Here is a 27,842-nt window from a genome sequence, read left to right as displayed (position 1 = left end):
TTTTTGGAGGGTTTTATCATAAAGGAATGCTAGATTTTATCAAATGCTTTTTCTGCATCTATTGAGATGATCATATGTTTGTTTTTAATTCTGTTTACGTGATGTATCATATTTATTGACTTGCATATGTTAAACCATCCCTGCATCCCTGATACAAAACCCAGTTGATCATGATATATTAACTTTTTGATATGCTGTTGGATTCGGTTAGCTAGTATTTTGTTGAGAATTTCTGCACCTACGTTCATTAGGGATATTGGTCTGCAGTTTTTTTTAAATCATTATTATTATTGTCTTTTCCTGGTTTTGGTATCAGGGTGAAAAACCCTGACATTTTCAACCCGAGTTTTAATGTTGCAGATATTTTGATTCTGTACTTAGACACAGAAGTATTTTACACAATATCATGCATTTTTATTATTTTTCCCTGGGAAGTTACCCATGGTGCGACCCTTTTATCCCAATTCAGTTTCTTCATTCTATGCATCATAATTTTCCAATTTTTGATTTGTTGTATTGTGTTCTGTCTTCTCTGGAATCTTTTTTTTTTTTTTTTTTTTAACAGTAGTAAGAAATTATTTTTATTTTTATTTTTTTTTTCTTTTTTTTTTTTTTATTATACTCTAAGTTTTAGGGTACATGTGCACATTGTGCAGGTTAGTTACATATGTATACATGTGCCATGCTGGTGCGCTGCACCCACTAATGTGTCATCTAGCATTAGGTATATCTCCCAATGCTATCCCTCCCCCCTCCCCCGACCCCACCACAGTCCCCAGAGTGTGATATTCCCCTTCCTGTGTCCATGTGATCTCATTGTTCAATTCCCACCTATGAGTGAGAATATGCGGTGTTTGGTTTTTTGTTCTTGCGATAGTTTACTGAGAATGATGGTTTCCAATTTCATCCATGTCCCTACAAAGGATATGAACTCATCATTTTTTATGGCTGCATAGTATTCCATGGTGTATATGTGCCACATTTTCTTAATCCAGTCTATCATTGTTGGACATTTGGGTTGGTTCCAAGTCTTTGCTATTGTGAATAGTGCCGCAATAAACATACGTGTGCATGTGTCTAAATGGTGCTGGGAAAACTGGCTAGCCACATGTAGAAAGCTGAAACTGGATCCCTTCCTTACACCTTATACAAAAATCAATTCAAGATGGATTAAAGATTTAAACGTTAAACCTAAAACCATAAAAACCTTAGAAGAAAACCTAGGCATTACCATTCAGGACATAGGCATGGGCAAGGACTTCATGTCCAAAACACCAAAAGCAATGGCAACAAAAGACAAAATTGACAAATGGGATCTAATTAAACTAAAGAGCTTCTGCACAGCAAAAGAAACTACCGTCAGAGTGAACAGGCAACCTACAACATGGGAGAAAATTTTCGCAACCTACTCATCTGACAAAGGGCTAATATCCAGAATCTACAATGAACTCAAACAAATTTACAAGAAAAAAACAAACAACCCCATCAAAAAGTGGGCGAAGGACATGAACAGACACTTCTCAAAAGAAGACATCTATGCAGCCAAAAAACACATGAAGAAATGCTCATCATCACTGGCCATCAGAGAAATGCAAATCAAAACCACTATGAAATATCATCTCACACCAGTTAGAATGGCAATCATTAAAAAGTCAGGAAACAACAGGTGCTGGAGAGGATGCGGAGAAATAGGAACACTTTTACACTGTTGGTGGGACTGTAAACTAGTTCAACCATTGTGGAAGTCAGTGTGGCGATTCCTCAGGGATCTAGAACTAGAAATACCATTTGACCCAGCCATCCCATTACTGGGTATATACCCAAATGAGTATAAATCATGCTTCTCTGGAATCTTAAGTATAGATTGTTGAGTTCATTCTCTTCTATTCATGGCGTGGATATCATTTGGCCTGAGCGGGCTTCCTCTGTATATTATTTTATTTACTTATTATCCCCACTTCCTTCCCTTCCCCACATTTTAATGTATTAATGTGTCATCCTTCTGTGCCTATGTGTTCTTTTAACACATGGTGTCGGGGTCTCAGCAGCTCAGGCGGGAGGAGCGGCAGTGGCCAGGCAGCCTAGCTTCACCAGGGCTCTTACGTGCAGCGGCCGCAGGCACCTGGCACACACGTTCTGCACCACCGGGATGAAGGAGCCATGAAGGAAGAGCCCAAGAGGAGATCAGTGCCGTTGGCAGCTAAAGCTTCTCCTGCAAAAGTGGAAATGAAGCCGGAAAAGGCAGCAGGAGGTCAGGCGTGGTGGTTCAGGCCTATAATCCCAGCACTTTGGGAGGCCGAGGTGGGCAAATCACCTGAGGTCAGGAGTTTGAGACCAAACTGGCCAACATGGTGAAACCCCGTGCCTACTAAAAATACAAAAATTAGCCAGGTGTGGTGGTGGGCGCCTGTAATCCCAGCTACTCCAGAGGCGAAGGCAGAAGAATCGCTTGAACCCGGGAGGCGGAGGTTGCAGTGAGGCGAGATCGCACTACTGCACTCCAGCCTGGGTGACAGCGAGACGCAAGACTTCGTCAAAAAAAAGAAAAAGAAAAGGACAAATCTTCAGACAAAAAATTGCAAACAAAAGGGGAAAGAGGAGCAAAGGGAAAACAGGCCGACGTGGGTAATCAAGAAACTAAAGATTTACTTCAGAAAACGGAAAAACTAAAATCGAGGAGAGTCCAGCCTCTGAAGCTGCAGAGAAAGAAGCCAAGTCTGATTAGTATTACATTCCATGTCTTATCGGTCTTCCCTGTCTCCCTTCTTGTACAACCTGGGGGAATATTTTTATGAACTATTTTGTAAACAAAAGTTTTTCAGTAGCTCTAGAAACATTTTTAAGAAAGAGTGAATCCCATCTCACCTCATTTTTTAAGTGCAAGTGCTTTTTTTTTAAAGGTGAAATCATTCTCTGGTTGTTTATTTTTGGTACCAGAAAATAGTATGGAATATCGAATTATGGGAGGCTTTGTCTTGGGTGTCAGCTTAACATTCCATGGATGGGGGGTTAGCTTTTATATCCTATAATACAAAGCGTACTAAATGGCAATGTGGAGTCACAGTCCTGCCTTTAATGTCTTGAACATTTTAAATTACTTCTAGTCCCATGTTTTTTGTCAGTAGAATTGTTTCCTAAAGGAAACCACTCCTTCATAATGGCTCTCCCTGTCAGAATTGTGTGCACTCTGTAACATCTTTGGTGGTGGTAGTCCTGTTTTTCTAATAACTTTGTTACCATGCTGTGAAATACTAAAAATTTGAGTGTGTAGTGTATATGCTATTCAATTGTGAGTTGGTGGGACATCTGTTAACAGCTTATCAACATGTGAAGATACTGGTACTTGGTAGCCTCTTAAGGAAAATTTGCCTCCAAATTTTAAGCAGGAAAGTTACTGGAACAACTTTAAAAAATAATTACAATACATGGCTTTTTAGATTTTCAGTACATATATTAAGAATTGAAATATCTGTGTACTGACCCTCAACACAACCAATAAAATCTCAATTATAAAAGAAAAAAAGTGGTACTATTTGATGTGTACAACTCTAATTGCAATACAGGTATTGTACTGTATGCTTCGTGTATTGATGCATTGCATTCAGCACTTTCTTGAAGACCTTCGCAACAGTCTGGTCTGTTGTTTCTACACATGTATACTTAATCAACAAACATCTCCAAATTCATATATGGGTGTATATCTCATATATGTTATATATACCCATTTTATTGTTAGAATTCCAAATAGTTTTCTTAATTGTCTACGCATTAATTTTTCTCAGTGTGTAGTTTGTTGAAGAGAAATTCTTAATTTTACAAAGTAAAATTCAACTATTTTTTTTTGGGACAGAGTCTCACTTCTGTCACCCAGGCTGGAGTGCAGTGGTGCAATCTTGGCTCACCACAACCTCCATCTCCTGGGTTCAAGCTATTCTCCTGCCTCAGCCTCCTGAGTAGCTGGGATTACTGTAATCCCACCCCCAGCTAATTTTTGTATTTTTAGAAGAGACAGGGTTTTGCCATGTTGTCCAGTCTGGACTGGAACTCCTGACCTCAGGTGATCCAGCCACCTTGGCCTCCCAAAGTGCTGGGATTACAGGCATGAGCCACTGCACCCAGCCCCAGTCCAAATTTTAAATGGCTGCTGTCCTCTGCCAATTTTTGGAAGCTTGACAAAGACAGCTTAGGAATTTTAGATAAATAGAGCAAATGATAAGCCTTTGGAAATGCATAGGAAACAAAATGACTATTCATAGAACCAAATACAAGCCTTACAGTAGAAACTAAAAAACACCAATTGTTTTATATGTATGTAAATATAAGTAAAACCCAAAGGAGAACAAACAGCAAATAAATGAAAATTAAAAGCAAAACCAACAGGAAAATAACTCCCAAATTTTCTCTTACTTAGTTTACCTTGGAGTCTACAGTGTTATCCAGGGCCTAAAAAAATATGATATTCTGTTTCTGATATACTAATTAATGTGTTTAAGTCCACCAGTACCACTCTACATTTTGTGCAATTAAGAAATTCACTTTAGGCATGTAACCAATAAGTACCTTAGTGCTAGTACTTTCTATGTAGAATAACAAATACAGTGTGAAACAAAGCAATGCAAGCATTTATGTAAAATTTGACTCCATGTTAAATCTGGCTTCAGGCTTAACTATATTTAAAAAGAATTATCAAACTGCCAATGTATTTATTTATAATAATTCTTATTGTACCTTCATCAAGACTAAGAGCTTTAACGGTGAACAATGTTAATTAGTCAAATGTCTCCAATTTTCTATCAGTTTTTAAAGGATATTTACTATATAAACTTTTCAACTTTTTATTTTCTGTTTATGTACATGAAGATAAACACACAGAGAAACAGAAAGAAAACAACATATGACTTCAACAAGGCATCTGTGTCATGCTTGAACTTTCTGTTTTGTCCTAAATTTTTTTTAAAAAATTCATTTATTTTTAGGAAAAAAAAAATGCTGTCAGATTGTTTTCTCAGGGGACACACATACACTGTTGGTGGGAGTGTAAATTAGTTCAACCATTGTGGAAAGAAGTATGGTGATTCCTCCAACAGCTGAAAACAGAAATATCCATTCAACCCAGCAATCCATTACTAGGTATATACCCAGAGAAATATAAATCATTCTACCGTAAAGACACATGCACACAAATGTTCACTGAAGCACTATTCACAATAGCAAACATGGATTCAACCTAAATGCCCATCAACGACAGATTAGATAAAGGAAATGTAGTACCTATGCACCATGTAATACTATGCAGCCATAAAAAAGAATGAGATCATATCTTTTGTGGGAACATGGAAGGAGCTGGAGGCCGTTATCTTTAGCAAACTGATGCAAGAACAGAAAACAAAATACCACATATTCTTACTTTTAAGTGGGAACTAAATGATTAGAGTTCATGAGCACCAAGAAGAAAACAACACGCAACACGCACTGGGGCCTCCTTGAGGATGGAGGATGAGAGGAGGGAGAGGAGCAGAAAAAAATAACTATTGGGTACTAAGCTTAGTACCTGGGTGATGACATAATCTGTACAACAAACTTCCACAACATGAGTTTACTATATAAAAAACCTGCACACGTACCCCAAACCTAAAATAAAAGTCTAAAAGAAAAGATACTTGTATAAAATTATCCTCTTTTCTTTTTAACCTTTCTTGCCAAAAATACATCTTTATGTTCTTAACTTTCTTCACATCTCTCTTCCCTACTTGCTGGTTCCTTTCTACCTTATTTCATAAATAAGTTTTTCGAGTCCATAATTGGGATCAAACTTTAGAAAACATTTGAATTAGACAAAATTATTCCATTTCTCAATAAGAAAACACCTTCTTTGGCAGGTTTTATATACTAAATTATATATTAACTACAATTCTTATTCTTAGTAACCTTAAATTTTAGTGAAAACTAGGAAGCAAGAAATCTTTAACTGTCTATCAAATATTTGCATTTTATAGATGAAAACATTCCACAATTTATAAAAACATGTTTCTCCATATCATAACCCTTTCTTAACTGGAAATGAGCCAGACATCCAAGAAGCATCAAAAATAATTTTAAGATTTTAAATTACACAAAAAGCTCACCTACAAGCATGTATCCCATTTACATGTATTCAATTCTTTCATCTTTTTAAACAATTTATAGGTCAGGCGCAGTGGCTCACGCCTGTAATCCCAGCACTTTGGGAGACCGAGGCAGGCGGATCACGAGGTCAGGAGATCAAGACCATCCTGGCTAACACGGTGAAACCCCGTCCCTACTAAAAATACAAAAAATTAGCCGGGCCTGGTGGCGGGCGCCTGTAGTCCCAGCTACTCGGGAGGCTGAGGCAGGAGAATGGCGCGAACCCGGGAGGCAGAGCTTGCAGTGAGCCGAGATCGCGCCACTGGACTCCAACCTGGGCGACAGAGCGAGACTCCGTCTCAAAAAAAGAAAAAAAAAAATTTATATAAGTGGGTTCTGAAAACTGAGATATTAGACAAAGGTAGTCGTCATTTCAGGTTATTGCTCTGTTGACCATTATTTGTAGCCTATGAATATTAGGTGCTCACCTAAGTAAGCAACTTAAATACATAGGTATTTTTGCCAATAACTTAGAAGATTCAACTGTTTTTATTAAACTAACAACATTTACTTAGTCTTATTTGCCAAAGAAGGCACACAAACAAAGATCATTTTGTTTTGGCTGGGTTTATACTTTTATAACCCTCTGTGCCAAACACTGACACCTCAAAGTATCTAGCAAAGACAATTATAAAACCCAGACGAAAATGTATTCTAACACTGTTAAGACATTCTTATTTTTTTATTACTAATGACTTTAAAGCCAGCTTTTTAAATAAACATTTACTTAAGTCACATAAAATTGAAAATTCCTTAGATTTATTTATTTAGTGTATAAGATGCTCTTTTATTTATAAGCCAATTTGGTAGACACAACATACAACATAATAAATGTACATACACATAAACACATATAAACATGTATACACATACACACACAAAGATCCAATAGCTTTTACCTTGGAACTCTAGCCATGAGATAGCAATACCAAACCACTGGTTTAGGAACATGTTCACATGGCTCAAGTTTGTTTGCCCCAATATGTAATCCAATGAAAGCTTTGAACCAAAATTTGGGTAAAGCAGTTTCCATGGCCGTTTGATTATTAAAGGCTAAATTTCCCCAGGCTCCAAAGACCACTAGGGCCAAACAGCACTATAGAAGAACATCATGTACTAACCAGGTCCAACCCTGCTTAGAACAGCAGCCTAAAAGCTTAGATACATGTAACACCATAACACCGTTCCACTGTCTCACTCAACAGCATGACCCATGGAGAAGCCAAACTTCTCCAGATTCCAAAGAACACTGAAGCCAAACAGTGCTACAAAATATTATCAGTTTATCAAATTCTGATTTCCTGTGACTATATTAACACACACAAATAAACAAGCAATCACTAAAACACTGTCCAATTGCTGCAGCAACCAACGAGTTCCAATATCAATCAGTTGGGCTTGTTCAACCTGCAAATGGAAATTCCTCCAGAATTCCCCAAATTGAGAGGAGAAGATCCCACTGTCTGGTACCCACAAAAGACATTCACCCATCCAGACTCAGATGACACATTTCAAAGGCTGCTCTTCCTAGGCAATCAGAAACACAGCTGGGGCTGGCAGAGGTAGGGCCAGAGAAAGAAAAACCAACACCCACCTGTAGCCAAAAAAGTGTTGGGCAGCTGCTTAGGAGGACTTTTGAGACTCTCCCTGCCCACAGCAGCCAAGTTACTAGCAATACATTCCCAGCCAGGGAACTAAACCTTGTCAAAAACAACTAAAACCTACCAATCTACCGCATCTGGACAACGAGATGCCAGACTCCTCACCCATCATGATTGCTTAAGCAACCACCTGCTTGCTGTTGACCAATTCTTCTTCCTTACCTCTCCCTAATTCCTATTTTGCCACACAGGGTTCTGTTTCTTCCCTGCCCTATAAATCCCTAATTTTAGTCAATCAAGGAAATGGATTTGAGATTGATTTCCTATCTCCTCGGCTGCAGCAGTCAATTAAAGGCAATACTCATTGCCTCGGTAACTGGTTTTTATGTGGCAAGCAGCAGGCCGTAGACCAAACTCCTGGCATTTTAATAACACTAGGTTGCCTTTGCATTCCTATGAAAATCCTAAGAGTATATATTTTTGCCTCCATTTAACCAAAGAAAAGAAGGAAGATCAGGGAACCTTTCCAAAGTCACTCACTTAGCAGCAGATGCAGCACTTTTATTCCTGGTCAGAAATATATGAAAAGTTCAAGAGAGTAATTAATTCAGGCAGCATAGTTAAAAACAGGACAGTGTAAGAGTTTAAAAAGATAAGCACACATATAAGAAAAAAACTACAGGTCAGGTATTCCTAATGTGAAAATCTGAAATGCAAAATGCTCCAGAATTTAAAACATTTTGAGCACTGACACGATGCTGAAAGAAAATGCTCGTTGGAGCATTTCAAGTTTCAGATTTCCAGATTAGGGATGCTCGGCTGGTGGGTGTATGGAAATGTTCTAAAGCCCCCCCAAAAATCTGAAATCTGAAACACCTGTGATTCCAAGCATTTCAGATAAAGAATACTCAACCTGCGAAAGAAAAGAAATCAATTTTAAAGTATAGCCAATCCCAAGAAGGGAGGAGGAGGAAGATGGAAATAAAGAGGAATACTTCAACCAAGAGTAAAATCAGCTAAGTGTCCCCTAGGGTCCATGTACATCAGATAGGATGCTTTCAAGCACAAACAGGAGAAAACCCAACTTGATAGGCTGAAACAGTAAAGGAAATGTATCATCTAACATCACTGAGAAGTCCAGGGTTCATTCAGGCTTTGGATACAGTTTAATCTGGACTCTTCTGAGAGTCCGTTGCCTCTACTTTCTTGCCTGTGTGATTTCTCTGGTGCTGAAAAAAAAATGACTTGAGCTGTTTCAAGCTCTATACCTCACACCATACCATCCAGGACAAGAGAGAGCCTCTCTTTTCCCTATTGTCAAACACAAGAATCAGGCGTCATGTAAACAGTGTCATTTTAGAACAAGTACATAGCCCTGAACCACCACTCTGAGCAAGGGTAAGTGGGATCTATATGATGATTGGCTTAAATCTCAGGTTACCTTCCATCCTTTAGCCTATCACATTGTAAAGAATGAGTTATCATGATTGCCTTAGGCTGACCACTAGAGCTGAAGGTGGTATCAACCAACCAAAAGCCAGATGACTACTATGCAAATGTGGCAAGGTGGATTCAAACCCAAATGGGTTGGAACCAATCATGTCAAACACAGGTAAAAAGACTGCAGCTGTCCCATTCTTTGCTCTCCTCTATCCCATATTTTTCTTTTCCCCTTCACCCATTACAAGTTCAGTTTCCAAAAATTTCCATATACGCAGCCACTGCCAACTGCACCTGGTCTGCCTGGATGTTTCCCTTGCCTTGGGCCCCTCTTCTCAGTATCCTAAACAAATTAGAGCTAAGTCCTTTTCCCCAAGTTCAACTCTAATAAGTTACTATACTAGAAAACTGAGAAATAAACAACAAGAAATGAAAGTGGCAACCTGCAGAATCATAAGAAATATTTGTTGAATTCATGAATCCTAAAGTAATTGAAGTCTAGCTATGGATATCTTGACAAATACTACCATCTACCATCTGGGGTCAATAGTCAATCCTCATCATTCAAAAATGTTATATTTGCTAATTTGTCTACTTGCCAAATTTTATTTGTAACCCCTAGATATATATTCATAGCATATTCACAATCATTCATGAATATATGCAGTGAGGTACAAAATTTGAGTCCCCCAAAGAACATGTTCCTAACTAAGGTCGAAAAAGGTGGTGCTTTGTCTTCATGTTCCAGCTCTCACACAGTAAACAAGTGTCCTTTTTGTAGTCTATATAGTGCCAACTTCTGCACATTTTTGGGTTTTTGGTTGGTGATTTCACAATCTTAAATGGTCCCAAGTGTAGTGCTTAAGTGCTGTCGCATTTTCCTAAGCATAAGAAAGCTGTGACATGCCTTACAGAGATAAATAAATAAATAAATAAAAATAATAAATAAATAAATAAATAAAATAAATAAATAAATAAAAATAAATCAACAGTGCAGTACATGCAGGAAAAGGGGGAGGAAATTCACCCATCTGTAGGTGAGGCTGCTTGGGAAAGTAACATCTATAATGCTATGCTGAAGCTATGGGAAAATAGCTACATTTGTGGATTCATGAAATGACAACCATTTTTTTTAAGTGTAGTGGACAGCAATGTTGTGAAGCTGAAAACCAAAGAAATTTGTGATCATGTTAACCAAGGTCAGGAATATATTAAACACTTCGTAGATAGTGTTTTATTATAAAGAAATACTGCATATAATGAATTAATTATATATACATATATAAAATAAGATGTTTTTAAACAGAAACACACATAAAACCAGCTTATGTATTCACCAGTTGACAAAAATGTTGTGAAAAATCTCACAAGAGCCTAACACCTGTATTTCCCCTGGGAACAATGGCTCATTGCTCACAAATTCAGTATTTGCAGCAACTGCACACAACATAACTGCCATGAATAATGAGAAGGTGCAGTAGGTACATTACTTGCCTTGATCTCACTTCAATCTTCAGGAGTAACACTCTTGTTCCCTTTTTTGATCATTTTCAATTCAGTGACACACTTGTACTACATCTCAGGCATCACCAGCATCAGTGCCTCACAAATTTTAATGGACATGTGAGTATCCTGCTGATTTTCCAAAACACAAATTATAATTCAGTAAACCTAAGGTGAGGCCCACATTCTACCTTTCTAACAAGCTCCAATGTGAGAACTCTGCTGCTTTTCCCTGAACCACTGAATAGTAAAGATATACATCCTGCCTTGCATACCTGGAACAATAATTTAACTCGAAGAGCTCTCTATAGTTGAATGATAGGAGTAGTAAGAGGCAAAATTGTGTTTCTCCTCTGGAGCTCAGAGAACAAACTATAGAACTAGGAATGTGTAAAATTTCCTCCAAGTGAGAAGACTTTTAAGCAGAAGAGTATCAAATGTCTCAACTACTTCAAAAGCACCAGGAAGGAAAAGAATAAGAAAACACTACAAATTTGGCATAAATTCAACACAGAGTTTTATTGAGAACATGTTTCATGCAGGCAAGATCCTTCACCAGGGATGCATATATTAAAAATACATGTACTTTGCATTGAAGGAGCTGAAAAATTAGAAGGAAAGGGGGGATCTAAATAACTGCAATGAAGAAGAGGAAGTGAGGAGCACAGTTAGCAAAGTACGGCTAAAATGTGGCGGGAGTTCAGACCAGGAAGAGACTGCTTCCCACTTGTAAGTCAGGGAAGGCCCTCTGGAGTAAGGGATATCTAAAACAGGCCTGATGATCCATTAATAGTTGAACATGTGGAGGTTGCTAGGACCCCATTCCATCTGGAGATAAAATTTGAATTTAAAAGTCCCAGAACCCAGGTCAGAACAACAAATCCTGCAAAATTAAATTGAGCTTATATTGACAAACAATCATTAATCAGAAACAAGCAAAAATAACAAAATTTTTACAAAGAGAGTTGAGAGGACGTCATCATCACGATGTGTTCAGGTGTGTCTGGAGCCCTTGGGCTGCTGGTCTCTCACCCCAAAAGGAGAAGGGTGACGAGGAGGCTCATGGTGTGTCTTAACAGAAACTGGATGAGAACAGAGATAGAAGTCACTCTGAATAAGGTGGAGCTGAGAATTGAGGAGCAAGAGGGAAGGGGACTGGGGAGAGAAGAACTGAGGAGAGAAAAACAAAAAACATGGGAAGAAAAGTGGGGTAGAGGCTAAGAGTAGGAAAGACACATGCAAAGAACTCACCAGCGTTTCCTGAACCAAAGCGCAAGACCTATCAGAAGAAGTAAAGGCACTATCACCGCCAAGATGATGAAGCCCACGGAACTGTGATGCTCTGTGAATTTGGGGAGACACCAAGGATGTTATAATCCATCCCATTTTACCTCATCCACTCCCTATTTCACTGCATTCCCTGGGCTTCTTTTTTTCATTTGAGTATCCAACTTACCAATCTCCTTTTTTTCTATGTTTTTCTCTCATCCCTGCTCAGAGATGGATTCTTCAGTTAACCCTCAGCATCCTCCTGCATCTACAGGGCCCTCATTTTCAACATTTCCATTTCTTAGATTATCTATTTTTATTCATGTTTGGGCTATAATCCCTAAAATCCTAAAATTTTCAGCTTGCCCTCCCTCTATGCCTGAGGTCCACTTCCTGGCATTTCCAGCCTGGGCCTTAGCTTTTTCTCACCCCAGTAGAGGACGATGTCCTGGCCCTCTAGACTGCTGTGCTTCACCCGACAGGACAGGTCAGCTGCCTCCCCAGCGGCCACCTCCAGGGTTGCGCGGAGATACCATGTCCCATCAGCACTGGGCAAGATGTCCCCTCGCTGAGTGCCCTGCTGCTCCTGCTCACCCCGCATCCACATCACCCACACGGGCTTTGGGTAGAATCCTGAGACATGGCACACAAGCTGCAGATGGCCAGGGCCAGGACTGGGGCCATGGGACAGCCAGGCCTCGGGCTTCACTGCAAAGGACAGAAAAGATATTCAAATACAGACTTGGAGTTTCATATCTCCACAACAGTTTAGAAGTTTAGATAGACACATTGTTCCCATTTCTCTTTTTTTTTTTTTTGAGACAGGGTCTCACTCTGTCACTATGCTGCAATGCAGTGGCATAATTATAAATTATAGCTCACTGTAACCTCAAACTGTTAGGCTCAAGCGATCCTCCTGCCTCAGCCTCTTAAGTAACTGGGACTACAGGTGTGTACCACCATGACTGGCTAACTTATTTTTATTTTTTAGAGACACTGGTCTCACTCTGTTGCTCAGGCTGGTCTGGGACTCCTGCCCTTAAGAAGTCCTCCAGCCTCAGCTTCCCAAAGTACTGGGATTACAGATGTGAGGCACTGCACCCAGCCTTTCCCACTTCTGGGTGGCTCTTCCTTATTCTAAATTGGAAGGAGGTGGTGGAAGGGTATGATTTTCAAATCAAAACTTCTTGGAGGGAGAGTGCAGGACTGACCTTGCCGCTGGAGATGTGCCTTTCCTGCATCAAGAAGACCCAAGATGAAACGTGGGCAGGTGTCACTGAGAAGATTGTGTGTTATGTCATTTTCATGCTGATTCTGATTGAGCACTTTGCAGAAATGCTTGGCCATATTCCCAGCCACTGGATATGGCAACCATGAATTGTTCTGGAAGCTCACAAAGTCTGATCCTTGATAAGCTAACTGCAAGAAGCTTCCTGAGACCTTTCCAGAGTGCAGCTCACAGCCTCCTGTCACCTGTATCTCAAAAGGATCTGGGGTTATGAAATAGAGGAAAGAGGGAGAAAAAAATATAAAATGAAATGAGTAGAAGCAAAGATTATAGAAGCAGAAGGGGGAAGTGTGCAGGGTTTGACATAATGGAATAAAATTTGGTTTGGTCAGGGATTCAGAGAAAGAGGAATTGGTGGGAGCTGTAGGTGGAGGAAAAGATTAATAACATGAGGAAGAGGGCAAACTGGTCAAAGAAGGTGATGTGAATGCTGTGGGTGAGCAAGGACCTGGTGTAAGAGAACTGGGATTATAACAACTTAGGTTGAATTAAATGCAATGGGTTACAATTGAGTATATATAGAGAGACTGCTGAAGAGAATGAATGAGAAAGTGAGAAAGCTGAAGGTATCTGGTTGTAGGGCAGGCAGAAGGGTGGTCCTGGGATACCTGTAAGAAAAGATAATAATGCACAACCCTGCAATCAATGAGAGAGGAGTTCATAAGTAGCAGAAGTGTTTGGAGAATTAAGGTCTGGATGATAGCCCTTGCCCAAAAGTATGCAATTGCAGTTTTATGGTGGAAAGAATAGAATAAGATACAGAAGAGAGTCAGGCTGTTTCCTAAAGGAATAAGAAACATTGAGACAACCCCTCTCTCCCACCTCACCACTCTCCATGGAGAAAACTGAACTCACATTCAAACTGCAATTCATGGGCGTATCTACGAATTCCCTCAAATGACCGAATGGTGCGTATACGGAATAATGTTTCCAGTTCCTTCCACTCCTCATTGCTGAAGTTTCCCCTGGACCAGGGGCACAGGAAAACGATGGTGCTGGAATTGCTGTCCCAGGTATGAGTCTGCAAATCACTCAGCCAACCTGAGACCAGATTTTGTTTCCAGGAATGGTTGTAAAAGGATGCGATCCAGGTGACATGGAAGGAGAGAGGCTCCTTGAGCCCTGCGACAAAAGAACAGATAGAATGGGGAGAAAGACATTGAGAAAGAGGATGGAGAGAGAAAGGTGCCAGAGTGCGGGAACTCAGAATCTGGAGAAAAGGGGATCCATCATGATCTTAGCAGACATTCACTTGCCACACAGTCCCATGCCTTATCAACCACCTTCATAAGAGCTCAGGGACCTGGAGTCATGGATAGTCAGAATGGAACCAGCCTGGCACTCTCACTTTCCAGGTATATGCTAGGGAAACCACACACACACACACACACACACACACACACACACACACACACACACAGAGAGAGAGAGAGAGACCTTCACCCACCACCCAACTGGGCAGTTGTCAGAGTTCTTACCGTCTGCATTGCCATCACCTGGGAGAACAGCTAACAATGGAAGTAGCAAAAACAGCATATCATTTGCAGATGTTATTTCCTTCTCTCAGAAAAATTGGTCTTTGATTTCTGTTCCAAACAAACCTACCCCACGATATCTCTATTCTGACTTCTTTCTGCAGCCAACAGACAAACCTCCCCTGACTGCAACAAAGAAAATCCACTCCTTCAAAAACCCTGAGATGCCTACTCAGTCTCTCATTTCCCTCTGGTTCTGACTCTCCTCTCTGTTCCAGCTTCTCTCCTTGTCACCAACCTCCAACTTATTCACCTTCCCCTAATTCAACTGCTATGGAACAAGTCTGATGTGGCATTGAAAAGCCACTTAACCACTAAGGACATTTTTTTCTCAATCATACAATAAGAGCATAAAGTGAAATGGCTCCCAGTGTGCTGCCCAATGCTCCCATGTCCCTGCTCTTTTTGATCACTCTGTCCTTTTCAATATTTTCCCATGTATTCTCTTCCCCTGTCTCTTCAGCCCCTTACTACATTCACATTTCTGATTTAACATTGATTTATTTGCTTTTTCAGAGTCTCCTACGACTGCCCTGTGCGACAGTACAAACTAACACCTTTTCTCCATTATTCTTAGAGAAGAGCCAGTAACCATCACAAAAAAAAAAAAAAAAAAAAAAAAAAAAAAAAAAAAAAAAACCACAGGAACACTAAAACATATAAAGAAAATTTCCTCTGTTTGATTTTCATTGATATACATTCACTCACCCAACAGTCTCTCTTAGCACCTGCCTGGAGTCAAGCATCTTGGTACACTTAAGAATATGCAGTGGTTGACAACACAATCACTTTACTGAAGGAGCTTTTTCTCTACTTAGGGAGAAAAACACGCCATGAAATATAAATCTTGGTGTACTGAGTTTTATTATACTGTATACACTCTCTGGATAAAAACAAGGCCTGCTTGAAATAATATTTTCTAAAATGGGGGCTCCTAACTAATGTACGCCAGCCCAGAATTTTGACTTCAATGTTTGACTTGGAGTGTTAGTTCCATACAGTTATCATACTGTATCCCCACCTAACAGAGTATCTCACAAGTGGTAGGTGCTTAGTGAATATTTGTCAAATGAATGAATGAATTCAGTCTATGCATCCATTTTTTAATTATGGAGGTGATATTCAACATGAAACTTTTTAAAGATATCATAAAAGTTACTTGTAACCCTATGTAGTGAGATGAGAATCTCATACAGTTTTATTTAGGATAAAAGTACAAGTTACTGGCATGAGATTTACATAAAAGATCCTGCTATAAATGTCCTATTACTTATAAGAAACTAGTCAGAACTTGTGAGCAGTGAAGTTAATGGAGTATTCCAAAGTCTTTATCCCAGGATCCCTTTTTATTAGTCCTATTTGGATGTTTCAGGGTTGTTTTGTTATAAATGAGTCTTTGCCGGACACATTTACATTCCTCTTTTACGCTGCTTGTAACTGTTGAAGGGCTTCTAAATATATGTTTGTGCTTTGTAGATATCATCCATATAAATGTGTCTGGGCTATTTACTATTTTTTGGTTTTCAAAAAAAAAGTATCTGAAGCTAATTTAGGGGGAAAAAATTTTTTTTCTTGAGACAGGGTTTCACTCTGTTACTCAGGCTGGAGTGCAGTGGAATAATCATAGCTCACTGTAACCTCCAACTCCCGGCCTCAAGCAATCCTCCTGTGTCAGCCTCCCAAAGTGCTGGGATTGTTGGCATGAGCCACCAGGCATGGCCTGCAAATAATTTTTTTATTTGTTTTTTGTTTTGTTTTGTTTTGTTTTGTTTTGAGACAGAGTCTCACTCTGTCACCCAGGCTGGAGTTCAGTGGCATGATCTCAGCTCACTGCAACCTCTGCCTCCCAGGTTAAAGCAATTGTCCTGCCTCGGTTTTGCAAGTAACTGGGATTACAGGTATGCACCACCATGCCTGGCTAACTTTGATATTATTAATAGAGATGGGGTTTCACCATGTTGGTCTCAAACTCCTGACCTCAGATGATCCACCTGCCTCAGCCTCCCAAAGTGCTGGGATTACAGATAATTTTTTTAAAGTTAAGATTAGCATGCAAAAAGCTGGAAAGAGCTTCATTTTCATACTTATAATTTTTTGAAGCCAGATTATCAAAATCATAACTTGAATTTATCAAAGAACTGAAATATCAAGGCAACCAGTTAACCCAAAATATAAAGAAAGACAGACTCCTCAAAGGACAGATGGAATGCAAACCCTTGTTTACTTGGGACAGATGCCAGATATTATACAAGCCAGTAAGAATAAGAATTCAGCTAAAATTTTAGACAAATTAGTAAAGGCTAGCATGAGTATATAGAAGCCCTGGGAGTCACAAAAACAGGGAAATTCGCATCAGTCTCTAAGCCTTTTTCTATGAACCTCACCAGGGTCTTCTGAAACATTAGGGTCAGAGATGTAGACCAGATAAATCCTCTCTCATGATGCGGGCCTGAGGTATGAGAACAGCTACTGCATGGGAAGGGTAGTAAGTCCCAACCAGACCCATCTCCTCTATTGCAACATAGAAAAAAAAAAAAACCGTGGCCGGGTGCGGTGGCTCACACCTGTAATCTCAGCACTTTGGGAGGCCAACGTGGGCGGATCACAAGGTCAGGAGTTCGAGACCAACCTGGCCAACATGGTGCAACCCCATCTGTAGTAATAATACAAAAATTAGCCAGTTGTGGTGGTGCACACCTGTAGTCTCAGCTACTTGAACCCGGGAGGCGGAGGTTGCAGTGAGCCGAGATCGCGCCACTGCACTCCAGCCTGGGTGACAGAGCAATATTCCATCTAAAAGAAAAAAAAAAGCCCTAACCTGGTGGGGAAAGGGCAGAAAGCCCTGCTGCCCTCAGGGCATATGTGAAAACCCACTGCAGCTGAGGAGAAGAAAAACAATGGGAAAGAACGAGAAAACATCCTGGTTCCAGACTATTAGAGGTCCCAAACTGCTGGAAGAAAGGCAGGAACACTTACATGACAAAACTTCAAAAAATTCAAAAACAACTGACCTGCCTAAGAATGAGACTGCACCAGAACAAAAGACAGTGCTCTTACTCCTTCTCCCAAGCAGTATCATAAATATCAATTACAAGACGAGTCTGCAGCTAGAAGAATGGAAAGCATGGAGGTAGGTCCTCTAGAGATATTTCACAAAGGAAACACCAAAACCTGAGAGTGGAGACATTAACAAAACCTTCTGGCAAACCAGCCCCACCCTAGGAACAGAGCAATGTAGAGGAACTTGAAGACTATTGCAGCAACAGCAAAACAGCAAACCCAGTTAGCTCCAGACTAGATTGACTCAAACCCTCACACTGCAGTTCACTCTTGAATAACATGGGTTTCAACTGTGTGCATTTACTCACACGTGGATTTTCTTCTGACTCTGCCACCACTAAGACAAGGCAACTCCTCTTCCTCCTCCTCTTCTGCCTACTGTACATGAAGACAATGAAGACGAACATGTGATGATCCACTTAATAAATAGCAGATATATTTTCTCTCCCTTCTGATTTTCTTTAAAATATTTTCTTTTCTCTTGCTTACTTTAAGAATATCATATATAATACATATAACATACAAAATATATGTTCATCAACTGTTTATGTTAGCAGTAAGGCTTCCAGCCAATAGTAGGCTATTCATAGTTAAGATTTGGAAAAGTCAAAAGTTATACATGGATTTTTGACTGCACGGGGCCGTCATCACTCCTAACCCCCATGTTATTCAAGGGTCAGCTGTACAAGTTTAGCAAGCTTATCCTGATTTCTCATGTGGAATGGGTCCTGGGAAAACCTTAGAGATATAGGGACTGTAATCCTTAAAAAGCTCTTTTAAAACTTTATGAGGCTTCTCCCTCATTCAAATGAAATAGAGCTGCAGGGACGGCAGACTTCACGCCAAGGTAACAAAATGAGGGCACTAAAGCTAGCATACACACACAAATGTTTCCCAAGTTAATGCAAAGAGCAGGGAATGAAAAGGTGAGAGAGATAGGAAGAGAGGACCAACATTGGTCTGATCAGGCACAAGACATCCGCATGACTGAGACCAAGGTGGAAGATGGCAGAAATGGTTGGGGAAGACTGAGCTAACCAGAGTTGTAGGATGGAAAGTCTGAAAGAGGCAAAATTTTCCGAAGGTTGTAAAGAGACAAAGTCAGGATCATCCCCCAAATAGTGAGTTAATCGGTGTATTGTATATCCCGGGCTTGCTTCATGGGGCACGCAACCAATGCAGCATCATAGTTGATGCCCTATGATCATCATCCTTAAATTCTTCATAATTTTATCTTAATGTGTGTTTTATAAATGAAGTCAAATGAGCCAAAAAAAACTTGTGTGAGGGCTTCTTTGCTGACATGTGGTCTTGGCTCCCATCACTTCACCTCCCCAGCACTGATTCTCTGCCATCTGCTCCCCAATGTCTGGGGCCACAGGCAATTCTTGCCCTCCTGTCCACCACTACCCTGCCACTGTCTGCCCATACAGCCGTCTGATCTCATCAGCAGAGGTGGCCCCTTCTGCCATCACCTTTCACAATTCCCTTGCTTTTGCCAGGGACACAGGGAGAATAAGATTTGGGGGCATGCATCCCACAGTGTCTGCACAGAGGTTGGCTTTAGCCATCCCCACCCAGGCTGCACCACAGAGTGTTTTGAGACAGATCAGGACGACATGCTTTCCCACCCTTGATCCAAGAATCAAGTGCATCTCCATACAGTGGTTGCAATTTCATGGTGGTCACCCATCTGTGGAGGGTTGGAGTGGCCACTGTGGGAAGGAGAGACTGACTTCCTCTTCCCAGCAAGGGGAACCCAGCAGCCAGTGGGCAGCTTGCATGCGCCGGAGTCATGGAGTGCGGCCCCCAGGCACCTAAGAGCCTCTGTGCTCACACTGTGAGTATCCCTGTGCCCAAGGGGTACAACATTAGCAAATTAAACAAACAAGAATAACAAAACAAAACACCATAACAGGTTGAGACAGAAAGAGAGAGAAACTTCAGAAGGAATGAAAAAGTTTTATATTTTAATACCTTTAAAAGCACTCTTCTCCTGCCTATTTGAATACAGACCTGCTATGTTCTGAATCTTTGTGTCTTCCCAAAATTCATATGTTGAAATTCTAACCCCCAATGTTATGTTATTAGGAAGTGGGGCCTTTGGGAGGTGATTAGATTATGAGATTGGAGCCCTCATGAATGTGATCAGTTCCCTTATAAGAGACCCAAGAGAGACCCCTGACCCCTTCCACCATGTAAGGACACATCCAGAAAGTGTACTCTATGTACCAGAAAGCAGGCCTCCACTAGACACTGAATCTTCCTTGATCTTGGACTTCCCAGCCTCCGAAACTGTGAGAAATAAATTTCTGTTGTTTATAAGCCACCCAGTCTGTGGTATTCTGTTGTAGCAGCCTGAATGGAGAAAGACAGGGCCCCAGATTTCTATTCTGCACAACGCCACAAATTATGTGGCCTACACCGTTGAATATGGGGTCAGAAAAGCAAAGAGGAGTCAGCTTAGGTTTGATAAGGAAAAGAAAGAGAATTAACTAATTGAGAAATGGAGTTCTGGGACCAAAGTTTTATGAGCTGATCAGAAACACCAGGGAAATAAAAGATGCTAAAGAAGGAAGAAGCGGGAGAAGAGGAAGTTGGGCACAGATTGGAAAGAGAAGTGGAGCCAAGCCACAAGTATCTCCACCCCAGCTTTCTGTGGGCAGAGCTGATCTTTATCAGAGACGCAGGCAGCAGCTGGTGAGAGCTGTAGTCCTACTGTGGGTCTGCAATTTTCCCAGCCAACTCCACTCCTGAGTGTTCACTCAGCTATGATGGGTACAGGGCAGGATCTGAAGGAGGGAACAGAAGGGAACAGGGCTTCTTGGGAGCTGGCTGGGGGTGCTGAGAAATTGGGGGTGGGGGCTGAGAAAGAGCAGAATGCTAGGGAAAAATCAAGAGATAAAATAGGTAAGGAAGGTGACCAGAACTGGAGAAAAGGAAAATAATTAAGAGAGAAGGGGATGGCTATCACTAATCACTGATAATTTTGTACTCCCTGGACACAGGAAACCCCAGAGAAGCAAACTAGTGTGAATAACATATACCCTGATTAGAACTCAATCAGACAGGTGTCCCAGCTATCCTAGGCAAGTCCATATTCTTCCCTTTGCCACCAAACCTTTCCCCAGGATCCACTTTCTTGAACCATTGGTGTTCAGGCCAAAAGCATGTTCCTGTTCACTGTAGCAGCACTTACCTGTTGCTCCTCCAAACGCAAACATGGCTCCTAAATTCTTCCTTCCCCATTGAAGCTCTCCTCAGAACCCAGATATGAAAGCTCCCCTCCCCACATGGTCTCATCTCATCTGACTTCCTCCTCTTCACTAACAGAAACCTCAATTTCCTGGCCACAGAAACCACTGCCTCTCATAACCACATGCCTTTTCTGGGCTTCTCATTTTCCCTCTCACTCTGCTTCAAGTTTTTCCTTGCCATTCTGGCTTCTGGAAGGACTCGCTTTATCTGCCTGTGTGCTGCTGGCCTCTCACGCACATCTCTTACAGTAAAAGGAGCTGTAGACTGAGTCAAGATGAACCCCCACATGGGACACCTGTTGGAGGTGTTGAATTGGAGAGATCCTTAACACTTTGGCCTCAGTTTCTTTATCTGTAAAATAACTAGATTGAAAGAACTGAATAGTCTCTAATATCACTATGGCTTATTCTTTGTGTCTTACTGTGCTCCTGTTCCTTCCCATACATGTGTTCTTCCTCCACCTTTCTCTCTCTTCTCTGTCTTCACTGTCATCCTCCCTTAGCCTTTATCTCAGCTCCCAGAGCCTCCTCTTCAATTTCTCATACTTCCTATCCATTCAATCTAACCTCAGTCCCTCCTCCTGGACTCACTTTCCTAACCTGAAGCATTGCCTTGTCACATGACCCTTGGATTTCTGTGCGTAACACATAAAACAGCCAGGGATTCTGCTTCTGGAAAGACAGCACACTACATGACCTGCAAAGACATACTAACACAAAACACCCAGAAATGCAAGATTTTTAAAAATTATTTTTAAATGCATAGCTGCATTTACAATGAAATAAAGAAAGCTCTCTAGGGGGCAAAGAAATGGAAACCCAGAAAGGCAAACAGGATCCACACCTGGACATATTAAGCATTGTCTTGTATAGATCCCTAGGAGTTTGGCTACTGTTAGTCACTTGGATCAGGAAACAAGGCCTTAGGATTTAAAAAAAAAAAAATAGGTAATAAGACTTGCAACTGAGGCTTCTGCTATATCCTCACTTCAGTGATAGAATGGACAAATAGAGTAGAAAAAAAATCCATCCAATTATATGGATTGGATTGTTTTTTGGTTTTTCTCCTTCTGAGAATTGCTAATCACAGGTCTGAGTTTGAAGTTCAAAAGTATCTACTTGCATGAGCCTGAAATTCACAAACTAAGAAATTAATTTTAAAAGTAATTCCATGCTGTGCACAGTGGCTCACACCTATAATCCCAGCATTTTGAGAGGCCTAGGCGGGCGGATCACCTGAGTTCAGGAGTTTCAGACCAGCCTGGCCAACATGGCGAAACTTTGTCACTACTAAAAAGACAAAAATTAGCCAGGCGTGGTTGCGCACAACTGTAATCTCAGCTACTCAGGAGGCCTAGGCACGAGAATCTCTTGGGCCCAGGAGGCGGAGGTTGCTGTGAGCCAAGATCGCGCCTCTGCACTCCAGTCTGGGCGACAGAGCAAGTCTCTGTCTCAAAACAAAACAAAACAAAACAAAACAAATGTAATTCCAGGTGTGCCACCTGGTGGAATTTAAAGCAAAGTTATCTCAAGAGAACCACCCTCAATACAAGCTGCAAAGGATATTTCACAAAAAGCCTTTCCTAAGATGAGGTCACCATCCAAACTTAGCACAGGGAGAAAGATTCCATGATGAAGGAAAGTTGGCAGACAGAATAAATAGTTTCATTTCCCTAAGATATCACATATAGAGGAATTTATATTTTAAAACCTTAAAGTCAAAAGGTTTGAAAAGACATTATCAAAAAATATCAAACATATTTTAAAGCAAATTAAACTTCTAGAAATATAAACGCTAATTACTATAAAAACTCAATGAGTAGATTAAACAACAAAGACAGAAAGCAATTTAAAAAGACTTCTAAATTGGGAGAGCTGAAGAATTTCCTCTAATGCAATATAGAGATAAAGAAGTGTTGAATACGAAAGAAGTTAAGATATATGAAAATTAGTATGAAATCCAATATGAGCCCAATAGGAATTTCATTAAAAGACAAAACACACAATTGGAAGAGGAAATATTTAAAGAAAGCATGGCTGAAAATTTTCCAGAAATAATGAAAGACATGAATGTTTAGATTCAGAAAAGGCAAAAGCACCAAAGCAGAATTAATGAGTTTTTAAAATAATCTTTATTTTTCATAGTGAAGAAAAAAACTTAAAGATGTAGGTAACTCAGAATATAAGACAATAGAAAGCAAAGTTCCTTTTTATTATATTTCAGTTATTATATTTCAGTTATAAACAATCATCTACAAATATCAAATGTTATGCTAAACACTTAGATTACAAAGAGTAGACAGATAAAAGCTCAAACTCTACAGAAAGAAACCTGTAAATCAGTCATAGAGTGTGATAATTCTCTCATGAGAGAAAGTATAGGGAAATGAATGAACCTGATTAAATCTTTCTTCTCCATATTTTCACTGTTTGCAGGGCTTTGCTCACTCTGAGCACAAGACTTTTGTCTGCAATAATCAGGCAGGACCTAGACAGTGAGACCATATATTCGTGAGAATATCTCAAGTGATTTTTTAATTCAGGAATGTATGAAGGTATAAAAAAGGATTAAAACTGCCTGGACATAATGAGCACCACATATGACACCTCATTCAGGTATCAACTTCTCCTAACTCCTCAGTGAGAAGCTGATGAGAATTCTTGGGCAATCAGACAACATCTTTTTAGCCATGCTTAGTAGTTCTCACCAGTTCTAGCAATAACTAAAGGATAACAGGTAACACACTTGGGAGATGCCAGGGGTACTCTTGTATCAGTTGTAATTAATGTTGCTTTTTTGTTTGTCAGGGCCCTTATTATCATACAGAAAGTAGGTGAAGACACGCTTTGCTATGTGATTGCTCAACGTTCTCCTTAAGAGGATTCTTTACAAATATTATGCTAGGAAGACTTTTATTTTCCCAATATGTTCTGAAAATGCTGCGTAAATGTTTACTTATCTTGCAATGCCTGTTATATGCGTGTTTGCTCTCTTGCTTAACGACTAATCCTCTCCTAGACGAAAAATTTGCCAACAGTGGATGTATTCCTTTACAGGACCGTCATTTAAAAAATCACAGACTGGGTATGTTAAACAACAGAAATTGGTTTCTTGTGAGGCCTGCCTCCTTTGCTTGCAGGTGGCCCTCTTCTTGCTCCACCCTCACATGGTCTTCCCTCTGTCTATGAGACTATATCTGGTCTTTATCTCTTTAAAGATTCTGTTTCCAAATGTAGTCACATTCGGAGGAACTGGGAGTTAGGGCTCCAACAATGGAATCATCATGGGACACAATTCAGCCTATAACATGGGACATGCTCCCTTTCCAAATTCTTCTCCATTTTTGGAAGCTAGGCTTGCAAAATTTTTTTTAAAACAGAAGTGTCTTACAGACATCTAGACTTCAAAGGATCTTGCTAAGGCCCATGAAAATAACCTTTAGCTTTCAAAAATGTTTGTAATTCCATACCGTTTTCTTTTTAATAATTGTTGCCATAATATTTATGTTTAACATCTCTGTTTTCTAATATATATAATCAATTCTGATTTTTTTCTTTAAGCCCAAAAGGAATATTATATTTTTCCCCTTTTTCACGATTGCAGAAACAATAACTAAAACCCTTGATACTGCTAGATTACTTATTTAAGCAAAGAATTTGAAGATCTATCGCCTAAAATAATACTACCCTATTACTACAATTATGCAATTTTTTCCTTTTTTTCTGTGTTTTGTTATATAGTAGGTATACATGTTTATGGGGCACATGAGGTATTTTAATACAGGCATACAATGTGTAATAATCACCTGAGAGTAAATGGAGTATCCAATACCTCAAGCATTTATGCTTTCTTTGTGTTACAAACGATCCAGTTATACTCTTTTATTTTTAAATGTGCAATAAATTATTGTTGGCTGTAGTCACCCTGTTGTGCTATCAAATACTAGTTCTTATTCAGTCTATCTATTTTTGTACCCACGTTAGTGGGTACAAAACCATCTCTACTTTCCCCCAACCCCACTACCATTTCCAGCCTCTAGTAACCATCAATCTACTGTCCACCTCCATAAGCTTAATTGTTTTACCTTTTTAGCTCCCAAAATAAGTAAGAACATACAATGTTTGTCTTTTTGTGCCTGGCTAATTTCACTTAACATAATGCCCTCCAGTTCCATCCATGTTGTTGCAAGTGACAAGATCTCATTTGTTATGGCTGAATGGTACTCCATTATGTATATGTACCACATTTTTTTATCCATTCATCTGTTGATGGACACTTAGACTGCTTCCAAATCTTGGCTATTGTGAATAGTGCTACAATAAAAATGGGAGTGCAGATATCTCTTCAATATACTGATTTCCTTTCTTTTGGGTATATACCTAGCAATGAGATTGCTGAATCATATGGTAGTTCTGTTTTTGGTTATTTGAGGAGCCTCCAAACTGTTCTCCATAGTGGTTGTACTAATTTACATTCCCTCCAACAGTGTATGAAGGTCCCCTTTTCTCTACATTCTTGCCAGCATTTGTTATTGCCTGTCTCTTATATAAAAGCCTCTCTAGCTGGGGTAAGATGATATCTTATTGCAGTTTTGATTTGCATTTCTCTGAAGATCAATGATGATGAGAACTTTTTCATATACCTGTTTGCCATGTGTATGCCTTCTTTTGAGAAATGTGTATTCAGATATTTTACCCATTTTTAATGGGATTATTATATTTTTTCCTGTTGAGTAGTTCGAGTTCCTTATATATTCTGGTTATTAATCCCTTGTCAGGTAGATAGTTTGCAAATATTTTCTCTTATTCTCTGGGTTGTCTCTTCACTTTGTTGTTTCTTTGCTTTGCAGCTTTTTAACTTGGCATGATCCCACTTGTCCATTTTTGCTTTGGTTGCCTATGTTTTGGAGGTATTTTTCTCAAGAAATCTTTACCCAGTCCAATGTCCTAGGGAGTTTCCCCAGTGTTTTCCTGTAGTAGTTCCATAGTTTGAGGTCTTACATTTAATTCTTCAATCCATTTTCATTTAATCCATGTGTATGGTGAGAGATACAGGTCTAGTTTCATTATTTTGTATGTGGATATCCAGTTTTCCCAGCACCATTTACTAAAAGGACTGTGCTTTCCTCAATGTATGTTTTTGGTACCTTTGTCAAAAATGCATTCACTGTAGATCTATGAATTTACATCTGGGTTCTCCATTCTGTTCCATTGATCTATGTGTCTGTTTTTAGGCCATTACCATGCTATTTTGTTTACTATAGCTCTGTAGCATAATTTGAAGTCAGGTAATGTGATTCCTCTAGTTTTGTGCTTTTTGCTAAAGATAGCTTTGGCTTTTCTGCATCTTCTATGGTATCATATAAATTTTAGTACTATTTTTTCTATTTCTGTGAAGAATGTCATTGGTATTTTGATAGAGATGGCTTTGAATCTGTAGGTTACTTTGGGTAGTATAGATGTCTTAATGGTATTGATTCTTCCATTCCTGAACACGGAATATCTTCTTTGTGTGTGTGTCTACTTCAATTTCTTCCATCAATATTTTATAGTTTTCATTGTAGAGATCTTTCACTTGTTTGGTTAATTTAATTCCTAGCTATTTTTAGGAATTTTTTAGCTATTGTAAATGAGATCACCTTCTTGGTTTATATTTCCAATTGTTTTCTTTTGGCATATAAAATGCTACTGATTTTTTTATTATTATTATACTTTAAGTTTTAGGGTACATGTGCACAATGTGCAGGTTAGTTACATATGTATACATGTGCCATGCTGGTGTGCTGCACCCATTAACTAGTCATTTAGCATTAGGTATATCTCCTAATGCTATCCCTCCCCCCTCCCCCCACCCCACAACAGTCCCCAGTGTGTGATGTTCCCCTTCCTGTGTCCATGTGTTCTCATTGTTCAATTCCCACCTGTGAGTGAGAACATGCAGTGTTTGGCTTTTTTGTCCTTGAGATAATTTACTGAGAATGATGATTTCCAATTTCATCCATGTCCCTACAAAGGACAAGAACTCATCATTTTTTATGGCTGCATAGTATTCCATGGTGTATATGTGCCACATTTTCTTAATCCAGTCTATCATTGTTGGACATTTGGGTTGGTTCCAAGTCTTTGCTCTTGTGAATAGTGCCGCAATAAACATACGTGTGCATGTGTCTTTATAGCAGCATGATTTATAGTCCTTTGGTTATATACCCAGTAATGGGATGGCTGGGTCAAATGGTATTTCTAGTTCCAGATCCCTGAGGAATCGCCACGCTGACTTCCACTATGGTTGAACTACTTTACAGTCCCACCAACAGTGTAAAAGTGTTCCTATTTCTCCACATCCTCTCCAGCACCTGTTGTTTCCTGACTTTTTAATGATCGCCATTCTAACTGGTGTGAGATGATATCTCATTGTGGTTTGGATTTGCATTTCTCTGATGGCCAGTGATAGTGAGTATTTTCTCATGTGTTTTTTGGCTGCATAAATGTCTTCTTTTGAGAAGTGTCTGCTCATGTCCTTTGCCCACTTTTTGATGGGGTTGTTTGTTTTTTTCTTGTAAATTTGTTTGAGTTCATTGTAGATTCTGGATATTAGCCCTTCGTCAGGTGAGTAGGTTGCGAAAATTTTCTCCCATTTTGTAGGTTGCCTGTTCACTCTGATGGTAGTTTCTTTTGCTGTGCAGAAGTTCTTTAGTTTAATTAGATCCCATTTGTCAATTTTGGC

The 27,842-nt window shown here is 39.7% G+C and overlaps 1 protein-coding gene and 1 pseudogene across 3 annotated transcripts; one reads left to right on the top strand and one right to left on the bottom strand.

The window, feature by feature from the left end:
• On the top strand, positions 2,152-2,719 carry HMGN1P5 (high mobility group nucleosome binding domain 1 pseudogene 5; annotated as a pseudogene).
• On the bottom strand, positions 11,203-21,136 carry CD1A (CD1a molecule). 3 transcript variants are annotated; one of them, XM_024450738.2, is made up of 7 exons: positions 21,061-21,136; positions 18,170-18,239; positions 14,122-14,388; positions 13,190-13,468; positions 12,408-12,686; positions 11,961-12,051; positions 11,203-11,791 (listed from the first exon to the last, which is right to left on the bottom strand). In XM_024450738.2, the coding sequence occupies exons 4-7, from the start codon at positions 13,323-13,325 to the stop codon at positions 11,782-11,784; spliced, it is 516 nt and encodes a 171-aa protein (XP_024306506.1). In that variant the 5' UTR covers positions 13,326-13,468; positions 14,122-14,388; positions 18,170-18,239; positions 21,061-21,136; the 3' UTR covers positions 11,203-11,781. The 3 variants fall into 3 exon arrangements, with proteins under 3 accessions (XP_024306506.1, NP_001307581.1, NP_001754.2); NM_001320652.2 differs by lacking the exon at positions 18,170-18,239; NM_001763.3 differs by lacking the exons at positions 18,170-18,239; positions 21,061-21,136 and adding an exon at positions 14,745-15,048.
• Positions 21,137-27,842: the final 6,706 nt, after the last annotated feature.

This window comes from Homo sapiens, chromosome 1, assembly GCF_000001405.40.
Source record: "Homo sapiens chromosome 1, GRCh38.p14 Primary Assembly".
NCBI classification, from domain to species: domain Eukaryota; kingdom Metazoa; phylum Chordata; class Mammalia; order Primates; family Hominidae; genus Homo; species Homo sapiens.
Note: the sequence above shows the minus strand (reverse complement) of the source record. Positions and strands in the feature narration are given on the sequence as shown.

Coding starts and splice junctions, on each gene's coding strand:
- CD1A (NM_001763.3), bottom strand. CDS start 14,802: ATGCTGTTTTTGCTACTTCCATTGTTAGCTGTTCTCCCAGGTGATGGC. Junction 13,469..14,121: donor CCATGAATTGCAGTTTGAAT/GTGAGTTCAGTT, acceptor TCATAACCCCAG/ATCCTTTTGAGATACAGGTG. Junction 12,687..13,189: donor GGCACATCTCCAGCGGCAAG/GTCAGTCCTGCA, acceptor TGTCCTTTGCAG/TGAAGCCCGAGGCCTGGCTG.